This window comes from Homo sapiens, chromosome 1, assembly GCF_000001405.40.
Source record: "Homo sapiens chromosome 1, GRCh38.p14 Primary Assembly".
In the NCBI taxonomy this organism is placed as follows: domain Eukaryota; kingdom Metazoa; phylum Chordata; class Mammalia; order Primates; family Hominidae; genus Homo; species Homo sapiens.
The window spans coordinates 206497915-206523898 of record NC_000001.11 but is presented as its reverse complement, the minus strand read 5'-3'; the positions used below and the strand labels follow the sequence as shown (position 1 = coordinate 206523898).

Sequence of the window (25984 nt, the reverse complement as noted above, 5' to 3'; positions counted from 1 at the left end):
GTTACATGAAAAATATATATAAAATATATAATATATAAAATATATTGTATAGTATATATAAAATATATTATATATAATATATAAAATATATTGTACATTATATATAAAATATATTATATATAATATATAAAATATATTATGTATATTATATAAAATATATTATATATAATATATAAATATATTGTATAATATATAAATATATTATATATAATATATTTATATATAATATATTTTATATATTTTATATAAATATATTATATATAATATATTTTATATATTTTATATATATATAAAATATATATGGTTTTAAGACAGAGTCTTGCTCTGTCACCCAGGCTAGAGTGTATATATATTTATATATATAATATATAAAATATATAATATATAATATATAAAATATATAATATATAATATTATATATTGTATATAAAATATATTTAATATATTATATATTATATATAAAATATATTATATAATATATAATATATAATATTTATATTTATATTAAATTTATATAATATAATATTTATATTATATAATATATAAAATATATAATATATAAATATATTTTATATGTATATATGGGGTTTTTTTTGAGACAAAGTCTTGGTCTGTCACCCAGGCTGGAGCACAGTGGCACAATCTCTGCTCACCACAACCTCCACCTCCCGGTTTCAAGCAATTCTCCTGCCTCAGCCTCCCAAGTAGCTGGGACTACAGGTGCCCGCCACCATGCCTGGCTAATTTTTGTATTTTTAGTAGGGTAGGGTTTCACCATGTTGGCCAGGCTAGTCTTGAACTCCTGACCTCAGGTGGTCTGCCCACCTCAGTCTCCCAAAGTGCTGGGATTACAGGTGTGAGCCACCACGCCTGGAATATATTTTTTTATACATGCAATGTTTATAACATTTCTATTGTTTTAACCAGAGCCCACTGTTGTCTAAAATTAGCTTTACTTTTAAATTAGCTTTACTTTTAAATGAATCTAGTCATCTTACAATAGCTAAACCATTTTAAATTTTTTAAATTTTAATTCATTTTTGGCTTGACTACATGTTAGGGGGTTCTTTGTAATTTTTATATACATTATGTTTCCTGATGATGCTGTATGCCCCTTTAAGAGATGCACCTCTATTTGACTGAGCTTCTTATACCATGGCACTGTGGCCTCATGCAGTACGGCTTGTTGATGACAGTGATGGCCAGGAGAAAATGTGGAGGGAGCAGAAAGAGGTGGGAAAGTCTGCAGGCCCTCAGTGCACATCACAGAGCAGTCCTGAGAATCCCCCCTTGGCCAAGAATGGTAAGAGGCAATCTATTTTGGGAGAAAGTGTAAAAGTAAATGGTTTGGGGGAGGGTGCTGGGGCGAGCAAGCCAAATGGACCTCATTCCTCAGTGAATGTGAGAGATTTGTCACCTGGACCCTCCGACACCACATCAGAAAACGCTCACGCTGCATTTAGGGTATGGCCATGCAGAGAGAAGTGCAAAGACACAGCACAGTTTTTGAACAGGGCAATTAAATTATGTGTGACCATCAGGACACATGTACTCAGAGATACACAGGGAGAGAACTAAACCTTTTTCTACGGTTCCGTCTCCCCTCTTTCCACATCTACCCAGCTCCTAACCAGTTGTTCATTTGTGCATGTGTGGCCTGCATTCACTCACCATGTGCTGACTGAGGGCCTCCCATAGCTCACTGTTACAAAGTACAGGCAGTCACAACCAAGACTGTGTGTGACAGGAAGAAGTGTATGAAAGGATTCGAGAGAGAGAGAGAAAGCTCAGTAAAGATATATACTGGTTTGATCATCACCACGGGAAAAAAGAAATCCTATTGCCAGGCACCTTAAGAAAAAAAAAATAATTTAAAACACTGTAGGCAGTTGGGTTTAAGGGAACTCAACAAATAGCAACAAGCCCATGATATCCAAAGCCAGTGTGGAGCTGCCAGATACCCTCTCGGCCCCAGGCCTGCTCAGGAGGGGCCCCTCGTCTAGGCATGTGTCACTTTGCTCTGGGTGTAAGAGAGACAAAGCAGCAGAGGTCTCCCAGCCCTGGGCTCTGGGCCCTCTCACCCATCCCTGGGCCCCTGAGAAGACAGACGGAGGACCCTGGGTAGCTGACAAAGGATTTGGGCTCTAGAAGTGAGGGGCACATACGGAAAGAGAAGGGGAGGGTTGTTTTTGTTTGCTTGTGTTTCTGTTTTTAAGGCAGACAATCATCTCTGAGAAGGGGCAAAGGGCAGCCTAGCCTCTTGTTAGCCTAGAGTATATTTGTGGTAGTATGCCACAGACCCCAAAGATAAGGACAGCCAAATAGGATTGCAAGGAGACCTGGCTGGGCATATGCAAACTGCAAGATGGCAGATGAAGTTCATGCAGAAATACAGATATGAATGCACCGCAGGTATGCCCAGTTCTAGTGCCAGGAGGTCACAGGAGGCCAGGAGCAGGCAGGTTCAGTCTATCATGGGACAACCAGGCTACTACATCCAACTGGTTTTTCCACACCTGCTTTGATGTCACTTGCAGCTATTCAAAGTGCCAATCATCAACCGGGCGAAAGCAGGCTTTTTTGCAGTGGGAAGGAAAGTAAATAGATTATGTCAGAGGACCTCTCTGCTGGAGACACACAAAGGTTTCTTTACAGCTGCATCGCTGCAGCCAGGACCACCAGAGACTTCTGGAGAGACCTAGGCCTATTTCCCACAGACCCCCCTAGCAGCCTTTTAAAATGACATATGACTTGCTCCTTGGCGACATGCTTGCTTAGCTCCTAAAGATACCCGGTGGGCTAATCTAGCTCTGCCTGTTAATTATGTGATGTGGTAAACTCAATGATAGGAATTTTTCCAGGGAATGTGTTTGTGAGTTTATGTCTCTCCTCTACTTTTACCTGGGCAACCTTCAAGTCCTATGTCTCCCACTGAGATGCAGGCAGTCCACCCTGGTCCAGGTACAATGGAGGGGCAGACAGCCGTGCTGCAGGCTTGTCCCAATGACCCACGGGGAGCAGTTATGAAAAGTCTTCCTGGGAGCACTCAGCAACAGCAGCTCCCAGTGCAGGGCTTTCTATGCACCAAACATGGTTTCAACTGTTTGACATTTAATTTACCCCACACCAGTCTGAGGTTGAGATATTCTGCCCTATCCTATACTTGGAAAAATGAGGCTCAGAGAGGTTAATCTGTAGGAGGAGCCACAGCCAGAAAGTGGTAACTCCAGGATCCTGACTCAAGGCAGCCTGGCTCCAAGCCTGTTTTCTTTTCTCTTTTTTTTTTTTTTTTGAGATGGAGTCTTGCTTTGTCAACTGGGCTGGAGTGCAGTGGCGCGATTTTGGCTTACTGCAACCTCCGCCTCCCGGATTCAAGCAATTCTCCGGCCTCAGCCTCCCGAGTAGCTGGGATTACAGGTGCCCATCTCCTTGCCCAGCTAATTTTTCTATTTTTAGTAGAGACGGGGTTTCGCCATGTTAGCCAGGCTTGTCTCGAACTCCTGACCTCAGGTGATCTGCCTGCCTTGGCCTCCCAAAGTGCTGGGATTACAGGCGTGAGCCACCGCGCCCGGCCACCAAACCCATTTTCTTAAATGCCACACTCCAGGCTGCTCATGGAGTCTTGTGAGTGAGATGAGGATATTCCAGATGTCCACAGTCTGCAGTCCACCTTTCCCATCATCTTGAGCATCCTGTCTTCTCCCCTCCTCTTTTGGCAATTAAGCCCAAATGCTAACACAAGTTAAGCAAGCCCATCATAGCCACAGTGCGGTATGTGCCCTGACCTTAATGCTGCCCCTTCAGGCCTGATTGATTTTACTTAAATCTATAACTCCTTGGACTGAATAGCAAAGGAGCGAGGAAATGATCTGCTGAATAATTCTTAAAGAGAGAGTAAGGGAGGGGGAAAGAGAGGATGAATACCAACTTGCTCGTGAGCATTTAAATTGAGCAACTCGGTGTCCAATTCTCTTCTCAGTGAAGGTCACAGTATGTATTAGGATATTGATGAGGATAAATTATTCAGGCTGGCTAAGAAATATTTGTCTCCAAATGGGGATTAGGGCTAGTTGAATTAAAATTCCCACTTCTCAAGAGGTAAAGCCTTAATCAGAAAAATCGTATTTTTCATAGTCAAGATCCTATTTTTAAAAATCTGCTTCCAAAACTTAGTCCAGAGATGGCACTTCATTTTAGTCCCATCCCTATGACTTAGTGTGGTGACCTGCCTAGATCCCCACTGATTCTTGAAAGTATATGAGAGAAGTATAGAGAAAAATGGGGACAGGGGGCCCCAAGAAAAGTATGTATGCTCCAAAGAGTGCCAACCGTTAAAGAGAAGCAGGTTCCAGACCCAGCCAGATGGCAATGACCTTTAACAAGGGGCCTTACTTGTCTGAGCTATCTCATCTGTGAAACAGAATAATCCCCTTCCCATTCCCACCACACCAGGATCTGGAGGGAATAAATGATATTAAAAGCAAACAAACGTAAATGCTCTGAGTGTTTAGCAGAGAGTGCTACAGAAGTGTAAGATGCTGTGGACAGCATGAGACAGCGGAAGGAATCCAAGGCTGGAAGGCAGGTGCCCAGGGTTCATAGTCCTGGCACTGCCACCAGCAGGGCCTTTTGTTGGTCCCAGCTTCCTTTCATTGGAAAAGGGGCATGGGATGACCTAAGATCCTATGATGATTTGGATTGCTGTTGTCTCTGCCTCTTATCTTTCACTCACCGCTATGCCGTCCAGTTATCCTTCTTCAGGCGAGGACTGTTCTTGCCCTAATTAGTGCTCAGGAGAGGAATCAGTGGTCTGGCCACTTCCCGAGGCCGGGACTCCTGTCAGCTGTGCTCCACCCAGCAGCCTTCAGCCCCATGCAGCCTGCACCTTCACTAACTCTGCAGGTGAGAAGCCTTTGCCTGGGAAACATCACTGCTCCCAGGTCCTCAGAAGGCTGACTCAGCAACTTGGCAGGGTCTGAAGGGCTACAGGATAGGCAGAATGGAAAACAGTGGCCATCCGAGATACCCATATTCTGCCAGCTCAGGGACCCTGATTAAGACGACCGCTTGGCCCTAATTCTCAGCCAATAAAAAGTTGTTAAAATCCACTACCCACTCAAGGCCTCCAAAACAGGCAGACCATGTCCTTTGGATCTGGCTGTTCAACCCATACCAGGCAAGGTGACAGCACCTGTGCCTTTGTCCTTGCGGAGTCAGGAGGGCCAAGGAGTGGTGCTGAGCTCAGCACTAAACAGCAGACTGCCAGAAAGATCCTGTACTCCTTTTCTATGGGAGAAGCCAGTAGCAGAGGCCTCAGAACCCAAGCTCCCCCAGTCAGATTGGCTTAGACCTACCCCGAGCCCTCCGGGCCCCGTTGCGGAACCTCTGCAGGATCTGGTGCTTTTTGGAGACCGAGCGGCTCTTCGGGAGCCTGCAGAAGAGCCGCTGGAGCTGAGCAGTGACTGTCCCAAAGCAGGCAGCGGTTGCCTTCTCCTCCTGGCCCTCGGTCATCTCAGCGCCAGAGATCAATAGCTTTTCTCCAGGCTTGGCGTCAGGGGTGGAGTGCCGGGTGGGGGAGGGCTCCGGGGAGGGCCCTGGGCCTCGCATGACCTGGACAGTCACCTGGACCCTCAGGCTCTGGTACCCTCAACGACTGACGATGCCTTCTGTCTCCGCACTGAGGTCCTTTCCCCTCCACCTCCCCCAGTGGAAAACTTTCTATTCCTGGGGCTTTTAGCTTGATAAGATAAAAATGCCCCCACCAAACAGGCTGCAGGGAAGAGCCTGCCCCGAGCCTCACTTCTCAGTCGCGCCTGTGAGTCTGAAAATCAATGTCTCCAAAGTTTCAGACGACAGAAGTGATCGGTTACCTCACACCACGTGCCCAGCCCAGGAGCTCGTTAATGGATTTCTTTGGGGATGGTGGATTACTAATGCTTCACCAGCTGTACAGGCTCCTAAGGGACAAACTGGGGCTAATTCACATCCTCCCATGCTAAGCCCAGGGTGGGGGAGGGGCCCATAAGGAGGTGGTGTTGCTTTAAGAGGGTCAGGCCATTCATTTTTCTGAGACTAGATACCTGAGCAGAAGCGGATGTGACCCTATGGGTGTGGGGTGGTGAGAAAAGATCAGTCTGTCACAAAAGGGCAGAAATATTGTTCTCTTGCCCCAAAACAGTACTCACAGGTGTTCTCTCACTCTGACTCCCAGAAGCTGCCAAGCCCTAGTAGAAAAGTTCTGGGAGGCCCTGTTGCCCAGTCCAAGACAGAAGACTGGCACCAGACAGGCAGCAGAGCCTTCCAGAAAAGCCACTAGAGAGGGGTGTCCCTCCCAGGCTGCCCAGAGATGACAGGACTCACCTGCCAACCACCAGCGGGGACCAGCTTAACATGAAGGAGGGACACTTGTTCTTTTTTCTTTTTTTTTGAGACAGGATCTTGCTCTGTCATCCAGGTTGGAGTGCAATGGTCCAATCATAGCTCACTGCAGCCTCGACCTCCTGGGCTCAAGTGATTCTCCCACCCCCCAGCATGTAGCTGGGACTACAGGTGGGCACCACCACACCCAGCTAATTTTTATATTTTTTGTAGAGGTGGGGGTCTCACCATGTTCCCCAGGCTGGTCTCGAACTCCTGGGCTCAAGAGATCATCCTGCCTCAGTCTCCCAAAGTGCTGGGATTACAGGGGTGAAGCCTCCATGCCCAGCAGGGACACCTATCCCTTAACCAGAGGAAATCCACCTCAGAGGACTCACACACTTGCAGAATCTCTGGTGGAAGATGCACTTATACGTCTGTGCTCAGATGCCACCCTTCCTCAGTTGCGGACTGATTCTTTCTCCCTAATGCTTCCTCAGGGAGAAGGGAGCTGCCCATGGCCTTTGTTGTGGCCCTCTCTAGTTTACCAAGCAACCTCTGTACCAGAAGAAGGGCATAAGCAAGTCCGGGTCCTGAAATGACACTTGGGACCATCAAACAAGGGGTGGGGGCCAAGTTCCTTGCCCTGCTGGTCCTTGCACCCAAGATCTCCAAGAGGGCCTAGGAAGTCCTGCCTGGCTGAGCACAGGCAAGGGCTCATTCCCATCCCCGCCCTCAAAGAAGAGAACACAGGGCTGCTGGGGGAACTTTAAAATATGAGTCACGGCCAGGCGTGGTGGCTGATGCCCGTAATCCCAGCGCTTTGGGAGGCCGAGGCAGGCGGATCACAAGGTCAGGAGATTGAGACCATCCTGGCTAACACGGTGAATCCCCATCTCTACTAAAAATACAAAAAAATTATCCGGGTGTGGTGGCACGCACCTGTAGTCCCAGCTACTCAAGAGGCTGAGGCAGGAGAATCACTTGAACCCAGGAGGCAGAGGTTGCGGTCAGCCGAGATTGCACCACTGCACTCCAGTCTGGGCGACAGAACGAGACTCCATCTCAAAAAAAAAAAAGTCACGTGTAATGCGGGGAAATCCCTTCCGAATGCACCGTTTGGGCTGCAGAATATGCTGACCTCACTTCTCTTTTCTCCTCATCACTGAGCTGTTCTTTGACAGGTTAAGCCATTGGGAAAGACAACAGGAAAGAACTGGCAGAGTCTGGAGATGGGGCTTTCAGAAGCTCTAGGATCTTCATTCCTGACCTTTGGAAAACTAGATAGATTTTTCTACTGTAATGATGGTCTGGGAGGAGCACTACCTAGAGACAGGGAAATGCCTGCAATGACCTCTTGCTGTCTCTGACATCTAAGCAATGACTCAATGACCTCCATGCTGGAGGCAAGTTCAGCCATGGCCCAGCATAATTTGAAGCAACAACCTTCACCATCTTACTTGCTGGGGTACAATATATTATCACCCTATTTTATATAAAGGTACCTCCAGATGGCTTTTAAAAAACACTCATCACTAGGGTAGACATTCATGGACAATATGCTCAACGCTTTCTCTCAAAACTCTCATGTTACAGCTGGAATCTGTTCCAGTTGAATAATAAGGCATCTCTGAGGTTTTGTTTGAGGTGGGGGAGGTTAATACTTTCTTCAGATGCAAAAAATAATCCACATAATTCTTTCAGCAGAGACCACCAAGTCTCCAACTTCCATTCAACTTGGATAGAAAAAACAGCCTCCTGCAAATCAGCAAGAAAAGTAAGCAATGGTACCTGTTCCCAAATAAGAGATGAACCTGGAGAAATATAGAGAGTCAGAGCTGGCTTGGGGGTGGGAGGTTTCCCCAGATGTATTTTTTCTCATGGGGCCACATCACTGCCTGAGATTAGAGCCAGAGGTCCATTAGGCAGCTTCAGATTATTGTCCAGTCCCTATCCATGTCTTCTTCACCCTAGCTGTCCCCTCTAGGATCCAGTCTGTTAATTTCACTTTGGTTCCTGACTAGTGCTGTGTCATGAACTCTGAGAGCTGGGCCATGGCAAGAAGGAGGACTGGAACAGAAAAAGATCCTCCACCTGCATTTCCAGGCCCACCCCCTACACACCCTGAACACCTACGGGGTGAGGTGGGAGCGGGGAGAGACACACTTATTTCTTTCATCTTAGGATTTGGAAAAACTTCACCCTTTTTCTAAAGATCTCATGATTTGCACATGGTGACAATCAATTTAGAAACTGATTGTTGAAAATTGGCTTAAGTGGAGCCAACTCTCAATTACCCAGCCCTGGCTGATTCTCTAGCTTGTATAGGGCTCACCTCCCTTTTTTTCCTGTACCTCCTTTTTTGGACATTTCAGCATTCACCAGCAGAAGGGCAGCAGATGGATAAGTAAACTCAACTAACTTGCGTGATCAATGATATTAGCCTAAGGCAAAATGCCATGCTGGGTTCTGGTGCTGGCTTTGCTATTAATGATCTGGGTTATCTTAGCGAAGTCATTTGACTTCCCTGAATGCTGTGTTTCCTCATCTATGAGATGGCCCTGATTACATCAGTTCTACCGACGAAACAGAATTGCAATCCTGACAGAGGCAGTGCACATCAAACGGCCTTAGTGATAGCCAAGTGCAACAAAAGTTATTTCTGCTCCCACAGTTTCTTTGCCATTCTCAACTCTTCCTATTCCATGTGAATATACTCATCCTAGCAGGTTCACAGAATGCCAGCTTGTATCTTCAGCAAACACAATGATAATTCTTTTCCAGCTCTAGCATCCAGTAGAAACAAAACATAAAAGGATTTTAAAAAAATAAGAACATCACTCTTCTTTTTGGCCTGACTTTCATGAACCTGGAGTCTGATTTCTTAAAGGTCTATGTAAGCCAAGTTTTAATTTTCTAGCAGCCCCAGCCAATGGCCATTGCAGATGTCTAAATAAGACCTGCCCCACCCTGGAAATATGTTTGTTCAAAAAACAGGAATGGGGAGCAGAAGGTGGCACATAGGCCCTCCACTGAAGAATAAACCTGTCACAGGTAAGTGTCATACTCAGCCATCCACTCACCTGCTCAGTGCCACACAAAAATGAACAGACTACTCTTTCCAACACCACCCCTCTTATAGACCCTCAGCATGCACATCTTGCATTCCCCCCGATCCCTCTGCCCCATGCCCTCAAATGGGGCCAGGGCAGTAGTTATAGGTAGGAAAATCCGAAAGAAAATCTAGAACCTGCTACAATTCCCAGGGGTCACCAGACTCCTCAGCCAAAGTGGGGCATTCTCCCCTGGGAGGCTGGACACATGCTATGATGCCAGGAGGGACCCCACTGCCCTTCCTCCTTCCTCTCCAAAAAGGGTAAAAAAAGAGAATCAAACCTCAAAGATTTCCCAATGGGTACATCTCTCACAAACCTTTGTGTACTCTAGGAACCACAGGCATGCTAGAACAGGCCCGGCATGGCCTTGTGGGCCACTTCAGCCAAAGACCACACCATGGAGAGTTCTTGGGGTCTACCAGGCTCTGCCCAAGTCTCCTCAGCATAGTTATGAGTGCTTCAGAAAAAACTCAAAAGTCACTTCCCCAGGTGTGAGTCAAGATAGTCTTGACCTTGGGGTGGGGCAACCCATGACTGCTCCCAAGCCCCGACTTTATTCCACTTAAACCAGTGCCCCCAGGGAACCCAGCCTTCTGCCTGGTCTAACGTCATCACCTCAGCCTCCTCGCTGTTTCCCCTAAGCCCCAAAACTGGCTCTGTTCCCCTTCCGACCCTGAGATCCAGCCCGGAACATGTGGAGAAAGGCTTGCCAAAAGTCTTGGAAAAAAACTGAAAATGACTAAATGCAAAACCATCTCCCCAGTCAGGCCCGGCCTTCCCAGCTGCCGCCAGCCCTTCCCCACCCAGCCATGGAGAGTCAGAACAGAGCCCTGCGGGAGGGGCAGGTGCCCAGAGTCAGCAGAGACAGAGCGAGACCCTGCAGGGAGGCAGAAAGCATCCTGCCACCAGCACAGACCCAGGTCTGCAAGCTTGTGAGAAGGAAATCATACCAGCTGGTGCTGACTGAGCCCCAGGAACATGGTTCCCTCAGAAGGGCTGGGGGTGGGGAGCTTGCATGCTTTGCACACCCACAAATACTCACCCACCCAAGAATACTCACCTTGCCATCTGAGGAATGCGAACAGGAAGGGCCTCTGGTGAGGCCAGAGATGTGTTTACAGGTTCCTCAGCAGCCTTCATAGTAAGCCTGGGCAGAGCAAGAATGCCAGCAGCTGCCCTCCATGGGGAAACTGAGGAATGAGGGGTGGGTGTGGGAGCCAGAGAGAACCCTGTGGGAGAACACTGGGGTGCAGGAGCTGGGACCCACCCATGGCCATCCCACCTCAGGTAGCAGCCTCTCACACAGAGGTGCTGACTCTGAAGCCCAAAGCGGGGGAAATGGCTTGAGGGCCTGAGACAGCACCAAAGCCTTGAAGACCTGTCAGAATGAGGCCCGCCCGAGAGGTTCTAACTTTACCACTGTCCCTGGCAAAGCCAGCAGGTGACTCCTGGCCAGGTAATTCCCTTTCAGCTGAGCTAAGCATCCCTGTATCCCTGTATTCTGACCTCATGAAACTATTTTGAGCATGAATGTAGCAGCGGGCATGAAAACACTTTGGGCTCTTCAGAGAAAAGGCACTACTGACATGCAAAGAATTCTTCTTATGCCCATTCTCAGACCTGGGTTCGGCCTTGCGGCAGCTTCCCCTGAGCCTCTGGCCCCTGACCTGCTCACACTTCACAGGAGGTAGCTCCCTGACAGGATAAATTCACTCTCCCACCGAGGCAGGGCCCTTGGGACTGGGCTGGGGGCTGTCTTTTCTTTGTCACTCAGGGACTACCTGCCAGGCTTGGCACAGGCTGGCTCGCCGGTAGAATTGGGGAGAAGAGAGAGGATATCAGACCAAACCCTCAGTGCTGCGGGGAGATGTCAATTCACTTCCACCTAATAACTCCGCAGGATCAGCAGGCAAACACACACGTTCATTACCAAGTCTAATTAGGCTGGCAGACAAGTGGCATTAATCATTTTTGACTGTACCTGGGATTCAAGCCCCCCACACTCCATAATCAGAAAATTTCATGCTCTGATGAATAGTGGGGAAAATTAAGCGCACATTTAATCCTTTCACTTTCATCTTTTGATAAGACAGGAAGCAGGGAGGAGAGGAAAAACGGGCTGCAGCGTGGGAAGCTCAGAAGGCCTCTTTGAAAGCATTCCAGGTCCTTTCCCTGGCCCCTAACGCACACATCCTCCAACAGGACCTTGCCCAAGAAGAAGATCCCAGTTAGAGCCAGGGGTAGGAGAGGGCTTGGGAGTGGGGGATTCTCACAATCTTTAACAACAAAATTTCCATTTCTGTGCTTCATTTTCTTAAACTCTAAAGCCAAACACGGGGCTAAATCAAGGAAAACACACGCTACACACTCAGTGCTGCTGGGTGCGCAAATACCTTCCAAGTGCCCAAGGTAAATAAATACAGAAGCCGCCAGAACAACACAGGATGATTTCTGAGAGGCCTGAAATGAAGACCTTTCTCTGCTACAGAAAGAATCAATGCCAATGTCCCAGGAGCCTTTTTCACAAAGAACCCACAAGCGGGGGATGGGTCTGCAGGATCGGGGGCTGTCACGCAGGCGGTTCCAGCTGTGCAGAAAGTGCAGAAAGTGGAGCTGAACCCAGCCAATAGCGTAGCAACAAGACTAGAGAGACCAGACTAGAGGCCCAGGGAGATATCAGCCATTCTTAATAAGAATAGTCCCGGTGCCCTTCCCCGAGGGCTGCATGGCAGGGCCTTGTAGTCACATCATTAAAATCTATCACAGAGTGGGGAGGTTAGTTGGCCTCCCTTTCAACCATGTAATTCCAATCACTTAACACTTCACAGCTCTGAATAACGCCCCCTCTGGAGAGAGACTCCGACTCCAGGAGCAGACAGGTGGCATTCACTGACAATGGCCAAGGTGTGTCTAAGCATCTCCAGGAGGGTTTGAGTCAGGCTTAGGTTTCTCCAAGTGCCAGACCATCCCCTGGTCCAGGATGGCTTACGCAGCCACCAAAATGAGATGAAAGGTAAAAGGCCACCTCCATGCGCCTTCTACAGAAGGAACACTAAGGGACGTCATCTGTAAGGGGAAGTCCCTGAGAATAAAGCCAAAGGGCAGCCAGTGAGTTTCTCTGGTTATTTGCTGTTGACCATTCCCTCCTAGAATGCTAGAAATGCATTCTCGCCATCACCATCACCCCTACCCCAAAACACACACATGGGCTCACAGGACCTTTCGTTCTCTCTCTGCCTTTCCACAGATCCCCACTGGATTTCCTTCTCTATCTCACAACTAGGAGTTCTTTAATCCTAGAAATTAATATTAACTCTGAACTTCCCTGTTCACAAATCCAGCATTAACCAGAGGTTGGTTACAGACCTTGAAGTGGGGTAAGCTTAGGTTAGATGAACTTTTGCTAAAAAGGCAGACAGTGGGAAGAGTGTTTTCCAAAATGCTTTCCTTACTAAAGTGCCCTTCTGCCAACATGGTTCCCACCCAGTGTCAGTCTCCTGGGCAGACAGATGTCACTCACATACCCACTGCCCTCCTGCTTGTTTCCAAGGGCTGGGATATTTAATAGCACAAACAAGCCATCACTTTCATCACTCACCACATAGTGAGACCCTGCTCTGGGCCTGGCACTCTGCTGGGTGCAAGAAACACAAAGACAAGGAGCCAATGGCTTCGTGGCCCCTATGCCAGGCAAAGAAGGGTCTCCTCAGCCACAGCAGGACATCAGGTAGGAGTGGCATTTCTAGAGGACACCTAATACCCAAATTTTCTGGGATGTCTATGGCAGTCACTTCCCCACTTAGCTCAGCAACCAGGCAGAGTTCGCAAATTGTACTCACTGCTTCGAAAGGTAATCCTAGGAGGTGTCACAAGCCCAGACTAGTTGTTACAGCTGTTAGATGGGAGGGGACAATAACAATCATATCGAATTAAACATTCGTATTGCATTTTGCTAGGCCCTGTTCTGAGTGCCTTATGTATATTAATCCATTTAATTCTCAGATTAACATGATGAAGTAGGTAATATCATTATCCTATTTTTTTTAAACAAAGAAGCAGAACACAGAGATGTCCAGGACTCACGTGGGGACTAAGTGGTAGTCAGGATTCAAACCCAGGGCTCTGGTTCCAGTCTGTACTCTTAACTACTGCATAGTATGATTTTTTTTAAAGTCCTATTTCTGACACTTGCTTTTCAAAATGAAGATAAAACAAAGCAACCTCACCATGGAATCAGACCTTCAACTTAAAGAAAGATGCTCAGCGAGTTTGGCCTGCTGTGTCTCCACCTGCCAGCCCTCATCTGCACATCAGAACATTTCTCAACTTTTGCCATCCAGCCATAGGTTCACAATTAGTTAAATATTAATCATGACAAACAGAGACTCCTTTCTGTAGCCCCTCGATTCCAGTTTTGCTTTCTCTCCAGTGTTCAGACATCGTTAGCATTAAACCAACTCTGTGGGGGACCATGAGCGCCCAGGAAAGTAAAAAGACCTCACCAAGTCACACACAAAGTCAGAGGTACTGCCCGGGGGCCTAGATCTTCCTGCCACTAGAAACGACGTATGACTTAATCAAAGGAGATCGACAATTCTGATGTGACGTAAGGATCAATTCATTTAGTCATGGAGTATCACACACAGGCACACGCAAATACACACAAACGCACCATTATCACCAAACCAAAAAAAAAAAAGAAAATCACAAAACTATGTGCAAAATCTTCAACAAGTGATACAGTCCCCCAAAGTCTAACTACAAACTAGAATGCCAACGAAGCAGATTTCCTGGGATTCCAGCTATGATAAAACCCATTTCAGTGAGGCTCCTGCCTCTCTCCCTGTGTGTAGGGTTGTTGGATGCAGTAAGGGAATCTTGAAAGTGCAAAAGCTGCCAACACATCCAAGGATAAGTTGCATTTGATTCTACTGTAGTCAAAGGCATTTACCAAGGGACAGCAGCCCCTCTACCCACAACATGTACCTCTACAAACCTTTACTCCTTCCTTCTTAATTAGCACCTGAACTGGGGGTTCTGGTGGAGGAAAGAGCAGCACCCACTTGCCCTTCCAATCTTTCCCTTCCACTTGACCCAGGCTTAGTGTCTGAGTTCTATTTCCCTGCAGCCAGCTGCAGCGGGCAGCACATTGAACAGCCTCCGCTGCAGACTGCAGGCAGAAAAAGGGTAGGGTTTTCCTGATGTGGAAATCACTGCTGCTGTCCAACGCTGCAGTTGGATGGGAGACGTGAGGCTGCTGCCATAGGGGAAGGGCCTTTGCTGAAAGATGCAAACCACAATCCATTTCCAGAGATGCTTGTTAGAGGCTGTGCCATTGTCTGTGCTTTGGGCTTCAGATATTTGAAATATCCATGTAAACACATGAACACATGGCTGTGGATATCCTCTGATAAACACGCAAGAGCAAATGCCGGGGTGGGGGTGGAGGGTGGACACCTATTAAAGGCATACACACCCCTAACTGTAGGAGGAGAAAAATAATAAACCCCCAAGGAGACTGAAGATTGGCTCAGAAAATCTATACACTGGGGGCCCAGTGTTTTCTGGCTTTGAGAAGCGCCTGGCTCAGGAGGTGACTGGAGGGGCCTGAGGGCTGTGGAGAGGAAGGGACCCTGTCAGGAGCTGAGTAATGTTAGAGCATGACGACTAGGGCAGGAACCCAGGAGGAGGAAGGGGAGGAGGCAGGGCACAGCCAAACATTGGAGCAGAGTCCAAAGGTTTGAGGGGCCAGAGGTGAAAGGCAGGAGGGGGCACGGGTTCAGGGTGACTTCAGGCTCTCTTCAGCCTCACAGCCTGCCTTTATCCAAAATCTAACAAGGTCTCCTCCCTGTCCCAATACGTCCCCCTGGAGGAGAGGTCTGAGCCTGTACCATGGGCGGACAAACAAGCGTTTTGTCAGTAACCCTAATAAGCAAGGGTCAAACGGTCATCTCAACAGCAGTCTCACAACCCACTCCCAAGAACTCACAACAAAACCATGAGGGTGCACAGGGAGATGACAGAGGCCGCCGAGGCCATCACCCACCCACCCCCCACAACCTGTGTGCGAGTGTGTGTGTGTGTGTGTGTGTGTGTGTGTGTGGAGGGCCAAGGCACGCACCTGTCAGGAGACAGGTATCTGTTAACTACCGCATAACCATACCTAGGTAGTGGGCAGGCACTAAAGGATACCGGGCAGGGAACTAAGGAGCGGACTGTCCCCAGGGGTTGTTATCTCCTTATGTTCGGGGCTCCCCTGGAGCCAAAGAGTGTAATGGCCCCTCTCTCCCTGCCCCAGGGCCCTCCCAGTCCTTCGCCCCCAGACTGCGGTCTCCCCGCACGCCCCTCCCCTGCCTTCACACTTACTAGTGCAGCGCAGCGCCTGCCGCAGCACCTCTCGTCCGCACAGGTCACACCAGCCGGGGCCGCCCGGCAGCACCAACTCGGCGAAGCAGTGCCCCTCGCCTCGCTCCGCCGGGACTCTGGGATCCTGCGGCTGCTCGAAGATGCTCCGCACGTCGCGGGGTCGGGGCGCTCCAGGCCGCCGCCGCAGTCTCTGCTGCAGACCAGGCCGGAGCGGGCGAGCGGGTCGGGAGGCCCGGGGCGGGGGCTCCAGGTTCCCCCGGGCAGCCCTCCGGGCGCTGCGCCCCTCGCGCGCCCCGGGCGCAGTGGAGAGGGGCGCCGGGACACAGAGGCGCGAGGACCGGTCGGGGGGCGGCGGCGGTAGCTCGGGGCCGCTCAGGCTCTGTAGATAGCGCGGCGGCTCGGGGTCCAATAGTAGCGGGTACGGGCGCTGCCCGATGGCCGGGGACGCCATGGCCATGCCCGGCTAGTGGCGGCAGCTTTGGCAGCGGCGGCTTTGGCGACTGCGCTACTCCCGAGCCAGCCCCGAGAGAAGGGGCCGCCCCACACCAGCGCGCCTTTAAAGGAACCGCAGCCTGCTGGGCGGGGCGGGGGCGGGGAGAGTCGGAGTGGCAGGAAGGACGACCCAAGAGAACCGCCGACGGACCGAAGGGGGTAGGGTCCGTGCCAGGCGACGTCTGCGCGAGTGTGGATTTGGGGGCGTCTTCACCTGGAGCAGCTGCAGGATTCCGCAGAGGAGCGCCTCTGTACAGTACAGCTCAGAGGGCGCATTTCTGCGGGGGGCCCTAGGCCTTCAGCCCTGCCTCTTTCCCTTGCCAATCACTTTCCCCAACACCAGGTTCACCCCCGACCCGCACCCTCACGCGCCCCGGGAGGGAGCAGGTCGGAGGGAAAAGCTTGGGAACTGGCTCGATGGGGTCTGAGTAGGGCCCCTCCGTCTAGGCGTCCGCTCGCCACTCTCCCGCTGATGGTGCCGACAGGAGGGCCGTGCTCCTTGGCCCTTCCTCTCTCCGGCTTGTCGCCGCCCGCCGCCCCCTCTAGAGCGGAGCTCGACGCGGGTCCGGAATGCCCCGCGCGCGCTCCCGCAGCCGCGCTTTGTCCCGTGGGTGACCGCCGGATGCCTCCAAGGGCTGGCAGAGCTGTCCGCGTGCGACTTTCGCTCTGGTTGGATTTCCCCTTCCTTCGCAGCCCTGCCGGGTAGGGTATTCCTCTTTCCTGGAAGACTGGTGGGGGGTGGAGGGGAGTTGGGGGGGCTCCATTGAGAGAACGCTCCCTCGCCCCAAGGGTTGGGGGAGCTTTTCTTCCTTAGCCAACCCTCCGTTCCCCAGAGCTGCTCTAGTAATTACTGTGGAGATACCAGTTCCCCTAAATGCCCTAAGTGGAACCTGGTATGGATGGTTCACTCATGGGACCCAAAGAGAGATCTCCTTTCTCCCGGCACTTTCCCCCGTGAAGGCTTGCTTCAAGCCTTCATGGACCCTTGTCTGGTTTAACGCTCTGCGGTCACCATCTTGAAAGTCTTACTTTTTGAACAAAGGGCCAGGCGTTTTCTTTTTGCACTGGTTCCCACAAATTATGTAGTTGTTCCTGACAGGCACCTTTGCCCATGGAAACAGGCCCATCTTATGGATAAGGAGGACTCCTGGATCTCTGAACCTGGGCCTGGGCCCTGGCCCTCTCTAGCCCCAGTATTGTTAACTGTACATTGGGCTGGAGGTGGGGAGACAGGTGGTTGTTAACGTGGCACTCTCCAGCTCCGTCATTATGACTCAGTGATCACAGCTTTCCTCTTAAAACACAGGTTCGGTTTGGTCCGTCTAGCGGTGGTCATTTTTTAGAAGAATAGTCTAAATTCTTCTGGACCTGGTCTCTCCCTTCTCTTCCCAGGCCAGAGATGGGTCTCCCCCTAGTGCTTCGTAGGGGAATCTTCACTTTTGCTTTTTGTTTTTCCCTTGGAGGTAATTTTTAGGTAATTCCTAAGATTTCCAGAGTCCAGTGGCCAGGGAATTCCCAGCCAGCTTTGCTCCATGGCTTCTCCCTCACGGTAATCATAGTCCTCTGCCTCCCAAATCTGTAGCAGAAGAGAGGTTCCTGGGGCTCTGGGGGCTCACCAGAGGCGGGAGCTCACCCTATGAGGTGGTTTCTGAGGAATGACCCATGGGACAGTCAACCCCACAGTGCTACCAAACAGAGGAGCTCCGATGAGGGGTGTAAGCCACAGGCCACCGCCTCTGCCCCACCCCTCCTCTACCTTTCCTCTTCCCTCTCCTAACCTTGCTTTTGCTACATCAGTGGTTTTCAAACCTTGGTATGCATCACAGTCATCTGGAGGGCTTGTTAAGATTATTGGGCTTCATCCCCAAAGTTTCAGAATCTATAGGTCTGGGGCTGGGGTTTGAGATGGCTCATTTTGAGCAAGTTCCCAGGTGTTGATGCTATTGATCCAGGGACCCAACTTGGAAAACCATTGCTCTAGGTCTGAGGTGGTGATTCTGAGAATGGGCTTCTCTGTTCCTTCTCCCCAGGACAAGTGTACTTCAGTGGACCTGACAGATAAAAGCCCAATGAGGGCTATTCCTGAATACTTTCTGCTGAAGGTGTAAAAGGGAAAATACAATTTGCCCTTGTGGTCTCTTATTTTAATCTCCCACTTTTTCTGCAAGCAGTTCTCTTGGGGTTGTTGCAGAAATCTGTATTCCATATAAATATTTGCTGTGTCCACACTCTGTTACCCATCTCCACACACTTGAGACTCATCCCCTTCCTGGAGTGCAGTGGGTGGGTGAGGTCCTGGGCATGGAAACAGCTTGAGCTCTGAGTGACAGCCTGGTGGGGCAAGAAGCAGCAGGGATCTGACAACAAGTGCATCCCTGGAAGATCGGCTTTGAAAAGCCATTTGTGAAATAATTGCTAACAGTCTCCATCTCTGTCCTTCCCTGCAGCCTCAAAGCATGGTTTGGGCAGCCCAGCCCAGATTTCCTGGATAGAGAGACTCATGAGGAGGAGCGTCATCTCTGGCCACGGGAAACTGAGGGCTATCTGAAACCATCAGGCATAAAACTCTTCCCCAGTTGTCTGGGCTGTACAGAAAAATGCTCTAGTTTTTGTTTTCCTCCTGCAGCTCTGATTTGGTGGAGTGGCAGTGGCTGCTCTTAGCATGAATGTGGGAGGAGATTGTGCAGGGCCAGAGCCCTATATTTGGCTTCTGGGGTGGGAAAAGAGATGAAAATGGAGATATTAATCATATAACTCCATGTAACCAATCAAAAAATTTATCATAAAGTTTATCTTAAAGTTCATCTCCTTGAGCCAAGAAATTAGAGTTGGGGCGGGCAGTTGCCCTTCTTAACCTCAATGTGAGGCTCCCTGGCTGGGGCATGTCTCCTCTGATGCCAGTTTTCCCAGCCCAGTCCCCTTCTTCCTTGAAATAGCATTTCCCCACCAACCCACGACACACACATAGACTTCTTTCTTGCTCCCATGCACACACACACACACACACACACACACACACACCCCACATGAACAGCAGAGTATTCCTTCTTCCCCAGGGAAGAAGTGCTAAAGAAACTCTAGTCTCATTATAAGCTCAGGACATTGCTGGGGTAGTGTCAGATGCCTGGACTTTAACATTTTTTTTGATCTGTCTGGTCATCCAGGCTACAAGGGTAAGACCGCAGCATCCGCTGAAACACCTCCACTGGGAGATCTTTCCCCTTGTTAGTAGATCCTCTTGGCTCAGACCCATTGACTTTTTTCTGTTTGTGACTCACTCCCAGCAGAGTGGGTGTGCTGCTTTTATTTTTGACCAAGGGGAAGGATTATGACAGTGAGTTTAGAGTGTGTGGTCAGGGTGTGAGATCACTTCAGAGGTGGTCCCAGAGCGTGCTGGTTTTCCCATTGGGTGAGTTGTTTAACTGCTGCCGCCCAGCCTCCCTCCCCAAGTTCCCTAGTAAGAAGGAAAACGGAAGGACAGAACATGGCCTGACTTCCTGAAGGGGACATTTTTGGTTTTGTTTGACTTTGAGGCGTCTGAAGTCGCCTGAAATCCCCGAAGCTTTCAGGGAACTCCCAGGGATTCTGACAGTTGCACAACTGTCTACATGGAATCACTGTAAGAGTCAGGACAAGTTAGGTTATGCTGTAGTAATAAGCTCCACAGCTGAGTGCCCTGAAATAACAGACTCCTTTCTCGCTCACATTACATGCCTTTTGCAGGTTGGCAGGTGCTCTCTTCTCATCAGACTCACCATGTCTAATATTGCCAGTCACTGTGCCAAAGGGAGATTGAGAGAGCCTGGAGGATCCCACATCAGCATTTAAAAGCTCCAGTCACTTTTGCTCACAGCTTATTGGCCAGAACTAGTCATATGACCCCACTCTACAAACAGGAGCAGATGTAAAATTCTACCTTGTGCTCAGAAGGGGAAAGGGCTGGAAATATTTGGCAATCAGCGCTAATGGCCAGTGCAATCTTCAAGGGCATAGAGCAGTTATTCATTCATTTAATGAGTAATTCTCTGATATCCACTATGTATCAAGCACTGTTCTAGGCACTAAAGGTACAACAGTGAAATGGATATGTTCATGAAGCTTGCATTTAGTGAAAGAGCCAGACAATAAACAGACACAAGAGTAATATGATATCAGGTTGTAAGCACTTTGATGAAAAATCAAGCACATTAAGGGGATGAAGGTGATAGAGGCTACTCTATTAGATTGAGTAGTCAGGAAAGACCTTTCTGAGGAGCAGACATTTAAGCAGATCTGAATGAAGCAAGCCCTTTGTCAATCTGGACAAGAGTGTCCCAGACTAAGAGAACAACAGGCACAACAGCCCCAAAAACTTTTCAAGCTTTATGAACCTGAGTTTGTTCAAAATGCCTATTCTGGGACCTGACCCTCTGATTCAGTATGTCTGGATTTTGGCCGGGATTTTGCAAGAGACTTTGATTCAGATGGCTCACAGACTACACTTTAAAAATGGGGTTACAGCAGTAAATAGTTAAAATGGTGTGACCCCCTCCACAGACATTTGGAAAAAAATGCCCTTATCTTGGTTAGCTATGAAACACAGGTCTCCAGTGCTGCTTCCTTTCCTTCTTGGGCAGCATGTTGCATGCAGAGCTCAGCTTTCCAAAGAAGTGAGTGCTGCTTGCAATGTGTGATGGGGGTCAGTAATATTTTACATTACTAGACTGAGAGCAGGGACCATGACAAAATGTTGTTGGAGGATCAAAATGTGTTTGTGAGAGAAATCCCTTGTAAAGTGCCATAAGTTACATGTATCTGCTCAAGAAACATACATTGAGCATCTATTATGCGGCAGGCACTTTTGGCTTGAATGATTTCATCTTCATGGCAACTCTGTGAAATGGCTGGCATTCCTGTTTTACAGGTGAGAAAATCAAGGCTCAGAGAAGTCATGTGACTGGCCCAAACAGGTATCACAGTCTGGACTCATATCCACTCAGATCCATGAATTTGCCTTTGTCCTGCCCAGCTGGTGTGGTAGAAAGGGCAGGGCTCAGAATCTCTGATCTCACTTTGTAGGTGCAGCTTGAAGGATCAGCAAAATCTTTCCCCAGTTTCCTCTCCCTGTGGAAACCCTGCTCCACTCCCAAGGTCTAGTCCAAACGCCAGGTCCTCCAGAGCCTTCACAGTCACCCAGACCTCACTCATGGCTCCTTCCCTGGGATCTCACAAGAAGCCCATTGTGCCTTTGAAGTTCAGATTATCCTAACATGAGTTGCAGCTCAGTTTGTACATGTTTGCCTCCCTTGCTTGGGTCTTAGTGGTCTTTCTGATCCCACTGTGCAGGGCTAACTGGAGATGCCCATTAACCTGTACCTATTCCAGGATTTTTTTTCTTAACGTCTCTTCAAGCCACGCCTCCTGCACCCAGAGATGGAGAGATGGAGGAATCGTTTGGTTTGGGGAGCATGGAGGGTCCCCGAGGACCTGCTGGGGCTGGGTAGAAGTTGGAGTAGTATTGGGAGCTCCATTTAAGACTCATGTACCTCCTCCAAGATTCTGGTCACTGGGTGAATTTCCTGCCTCCAGATGTTTGTAGCTGGCCAGGGTTGAGGGCTGGTGGGGCACCATCTCGACTCTTGGTGGAATGGGCTTTCTGTATGTCACCAAACTCCAGTGCTCCCAAGGGGATCTCCTAGGTCCTTGACAGTACTTGGGGACAAGAAGGGCAGATCAAGGGGGGACAAAAGCAGGGAGGGATCTGAGGGCTCCTGGAAAGGTGTCATCACGTAGAGTGGGGGCAGGTGGGGCTTGTTTTCCACCAGTTTTAGTGGCACCTCCTCCATCCATCTCAATTATGAAATTTTTCCATCCTGAGCTGCTCTGCCAGGCTTATGATAAGACTGGCGTGTGTGTGTGTGTGTGTGTGTGTGTGTGTGTGTGTGTGTGTTTTCTTTCCGCGTTGGAAAAACTCAGATATTCCAAGCAGATTTGTCAGCAATTTTTTTCCCTCAGCCAGAGGGGAGGCTCCAAGCCACAGCCACTTGCATTCCAGCACTAAGCCAGCCCTGGGCCCACTGCAGTGGCAGGAAGCCATGGACTGGGTTACAACAGACCAGCGAGAGCAGGGTGGCCTGGGTGACCTCACAGGCTCTCCCTGCCCCACCCCAGCCCCCACCTGTCTCCTCCTCTGTGCTCTGTGTCTCCCTGTCTTGCCTCTCCTTTCTGCTTCCTCTCCCTGTGCCCTGCTCATCCACTATCTCCCTCTCCATCCCTCTTCATCTCCCCCTCCCTCTCTCCTTTCTCACTCCCACCTCTTATCTCACCCCTCCTCCTCTGTCTCCGCTGAAGAATGAAGGGAAGGGAGCCACACTGCTCCAGCCGCAGTCATTCTGAGCTTCCAAGGAACAGAAACTGAAGCTACTTCAGGTCAGCCTGGCTATTCCTTAACACTTCCCATTGGGGTTGCCTGATTAAGGATCCTTTGTGAGATCGGGGAAAAGAAGCCAGAATTCCACCCTTGAAAAAATCATCCAAGCATGGCTGGGCGCGGTGACTCACGCCTATAATCCCAGCGCTTTGGGAGGCCGAGGCAGAGAGATCACCTGAGGTCAGAAGTTTGAGACCAGCCTGGCCAAACATGGTGAAAACCCCATCTCTACTAAAAATACAAAAATTAGCCAGGCATAGTAGTGGGCACCTGTAGACCCAGCTACTCGGGAGGCTGAGGCAGGAGAATGGCTTGAACCTGGGAGGTGGTTGCAGTCAGCCGAGATCACGCCACGGAACTCCAGCCTGGGGGACAGAGTGACACTCTGTCTCAAATAAATAAATAATAAATAAATAAATAAATAAATAAATAAATAAATAAAAATATAGGCCGGGCACGGTGGCTTATGCCTGTAATCCCAGCACTTTCGGAGGCTGAGGTGGGCGGATCAGGAGATCGGGAGATCGAGACCATGCTGGCCAACGTGGTGAAACCCTGTCTCTACTAAAAATACAAAAATTAGCTGGGCGTGGTGGTGCATGCCTGTAGTACCAGCTACTTGGGAGGCTGAGGCAGGAGAATGACTTGAACCAGGGAGTCAGAGGTTGCAGTGAGCCAAGATCGCACCACTGCACTCCAGCTGGGCAACAGAGCGAGACTCTGTCTTAAAAAAAAATAAATATATAAACATAAATAAAAATCTTTGAAGCAGTTTGGAAGTGAACCCAAAATGACCAGTTGCAGCAATCCTGTGAGGATACTGAAGCAAGGTGGCTCCATGAAAGCAAACGGTGGTTCCAGTAGGAGGGTGGCCTGGCCATGGTTGAGATCCATCCTGTCCTTAGACTGGCTGCCCTGGCCTCAGCTCTCAGGGTGGGTGTGGAGTGGGGTGCCTGGTCCAGTGTACCACGCACTGCCAATTGGCCTCTGTTGGGCCATTCACATGCCCTCTGCAGGATCTTTGTAAACTCTGCCTCAGTGTTCTCAAACCTGAGCTGGTGTGAGAATCACCAGGGAAGCTCATCAATAATACAGATTCCTGAGCCACACCCTTACGGATTGGATTCAGGAGCTGAGTGGGATCCCAGAATATGTGTTTTGAAACCAGGACACCAGTCTCAAGAGAGGAAACTGTGTGGATTCTGGGAGAGAAAGAGAGATATAGCCCTGTAGCGCCCTGCCCTCCAGAACTGACTGTACTTCTTGCCTGGGTTCCTGGGACAGGCCCCCTCATCCTTCCAGTTAGGCCCCCTTTTAGCTTGGATCAGCCTGTTTTAAGAGGCTGCTAGCCATGAATCTGAATGCCACATGGAATCTTCCCAGATATCTGTGACTGATCTGAGCCCCCGACTCAGCCCATACGAGACAAGAACTTGTTTCCTCTACCTACCCTGTGCAGGGGCTCATAGCTGAATGAGGTGGGGAGGGGATGGGGAAGGTGAGCGGAGTATGCAGAGAACTATTGTGTTAATAATACTGTGTTTGGGGCCAGTGCGGTGGCTCATGCCTGTAATCCCAGCCCTTTGGGAGGCCGAGGTGGGTGGATCACCTGAGCTCAGGAGTTCAAGACCAGCCTGACCAACATGGAGAAACCCCGCCTCTACTAAAAATACAAAATCAGCCGGGCGTGGTGGCACACGCCTGTAATCCCAGATACTCAGGAGGCTGAGGCAGGAGAATCGCTTGAATCCGGGAGGCAGAGGTTGCGGTGAGCCGAGATAGTGCCATTGCACTCCAGCCTGGGCAACAAGAGCAAAACTGCGTCTCACATAATAACAATAATAATAATAATATTGAGTTTTAGGCACTTTATGCACATAGCTAATCTATTCCTACCCACAACTTTCCACTCACCACACGGGCACCGAGGAGTAGTATCTTTAAAATACCAGTTGGACTTGACCTAAAACCTCTCTGTGGTCCTCTGGGGTAAAGTCCAAGTTCCTCAGTGTGGCCTGCAAGGACCTTTTGGACTGGCTCCTCCCTTTCCACAATACCAGCATCCTACTTTAACCTACTCTCCAGTCATATAGAAATACTAGTAGCTCTTCCCATGCCTGTGCCACTGCTGCTCCCACGGCCAGGAATGCCTCCCACACCTTCTTTGCTAGGTATCACCTGCTCACCTGCTAAGACCACTTTGGATTCACCTGTTCTCAGTCACTCCCTGACACTTAGGAAGTTTCCCAGCCTGACCTAAGCACCCTCCCCTGTGAGGATGGTGACTCAGGACCACACTGGATGTTTGCATTCCTAGCATAGCACCTCCTCCATGATGGGAAGCTATCTGTGGCATACCTGTCTTCCCCCATAGAGGTGAGCTCCCCATGAGCCAGAAAGGTGGCTTAGTCACCTCTGTAGTTCCAGCATCCCGTGGGCCTGGTACACTGTAAGGGCTCAGATCATGTCTGGTGAACTGAATGGGCTCTTTTCATTTTAAGTGTTATGTTAGGAATCACTGCAGAGAATGGAGAGGTACATTAAAGAGGTCTTCAGACACCTGAGGATCTTATGGGTTGTTCTGGGTCTTGGTCCAGTTCCTCATTTCCTACTGAGATGGAATCAGCAGCTCTGCAGAACCTCAGATCCAGGGAGGCACTGATGTCAGCAGCTCTGCCTTGCATAGAAATGAACTGAAGCCACTGGGCGTGGTGGCTCACGCCTGTAATCCTAACACTTTGGGAGGCCAAGAAAGGAGGGTTGCTTGAGCTCAGGAGTTCAAGACCAGCTTGTGCAACATAGTGAGACCTCATCTCTACAAAAAATATAAAATTAGCTGGGTGTGGTGGTGCACGCCTGTAGTCCCAGCTACTTGGAAGGCTGAGGCAGGAGGATTGCTTGGTCCTACAGTGAGTAGTAGTGGTGATCGCTTGATCACTACAGTGAGTCGAGGCTGTAGTGAGCCAAGATTATACCATTCCACTGCAACCTGGGCAACAGAGCAAAACCCTGCCAAAAAAAAAAAAAGAAGGAAAATTAAAAAAAAAAAACAACTGAACTGAAGCCTTTGAGTGAGTTTGTCCGCCACATCTCATAGGCTTTGCTCATGAGATCATACAGCCTGGATCATATCATCTCCCAAAAATCTGTATTTGGCATTCAGGGATCCCCTGGCTCCTTCACTGAGCTCCACCAAGCACATGGGGTTTTGCAAGCTGTTGCTGCCAGGGAAAACCCATTGTGG

At 49.4% G+C, this 25984-nt stretch overlaps 1 protein-coding gene and 1 long non-coding RNA gene across 3 annotated transcripts in view, besides 5 other annotated features; one reads left to right on the top strand and one right to left on the bottom strand.

Moving 5' to 3' along the window:
- RASSF5 (Ras association domain family member 5) overlaps window positions 1-16368 on the bottom strand; it is an 81918-nt gene extending 65550 nt beyond the window's left edge. For both annotated transcript variants that reach the window (NM_182663.4, NM_182664.4), the window contains exon 1: window positions 15840-16368. In NM_182663.4, coding sequence (NP_872604.1) covers window positions 15840-16296 — 457 coding nt within the window. In that variant the 5' untranslated portion in view covers window positions 16297-16368. The remainder of the gene's footprint in view (window positions 1-15839) is intronic.
- Window positions 15963-16052: a silencer, noted in NCBI's record as "silent region_1754". NCBI's record gives its function as "represses an Ori minimal core promoter by ATAC-STARR-seq in GM12878 lymphoblastoid cells {active_cell/tissue: GM12878}" and the evidence as "EXISTENCE:reporter gene assay evidence [ECO:0000049][PMID:35858748]".
- Window positions 16093-16452: a silencer, noted in NCBI's record as "silent region_1753". NCBI's record gives its function as "represses an Ori minimal core promoter by ATAC-STARR-seq in GM12878 lymphoblastoid cells {active_cell/tissue: GM12878}" and the evidence as "EXISTENCE:reporter gene assay evidence [ECO:0000049][PMID:35858748]".
- Window positions 16492-20480, top strand: LOC124904493 (uncharacterized). Its single transcript, XR_007066830.1, has 2 exons — window positions 16492-17033; window positions 18779-20480. It is a non-coding gene; the product is annotated as an uncharacterized LOC124904493 (long non-coding RNA).
- Window positions 16703-16752: a silencer, noted in NCBI's record as "silent region_1752". NCBI's record gives its function as "represses an Ori minimal core promoter by ATAC-STARR-seq in GM12878 lymphoblastoid cells {active_cell/tissue: GM12878}" and the evidence as "EXISTENCE:reporter gene assay evidence [ECO:0000049][PMID:35858748]".
- Window positions 19350-19399: an enhancer, noted in NCBI's record as "active region_2403". NCBI's record gives its function as "activates an Ori minimal core promoter by ATAC-STARR-seq in GM12878 lymphoblastoid cells {active_cell/tissue: GM12878}" and the evidence as "EXISTENCE:reporter gene assay evidence [ECO:0000049][PMID:35858748]".
- Window positions 19430-19479: an enhancer, noted in NCBI's record as "active region_2402". NCBI's record gives its function as "activates an Ori minimal core promoter by ATAC-STARR-seq in GM12878 lymphoblastoid cells {active_cell/tissue: GM12878}" and the evidence as "EXISTENCE:reporter gene assay evidence [ECO:0000049][PMID:35858748]".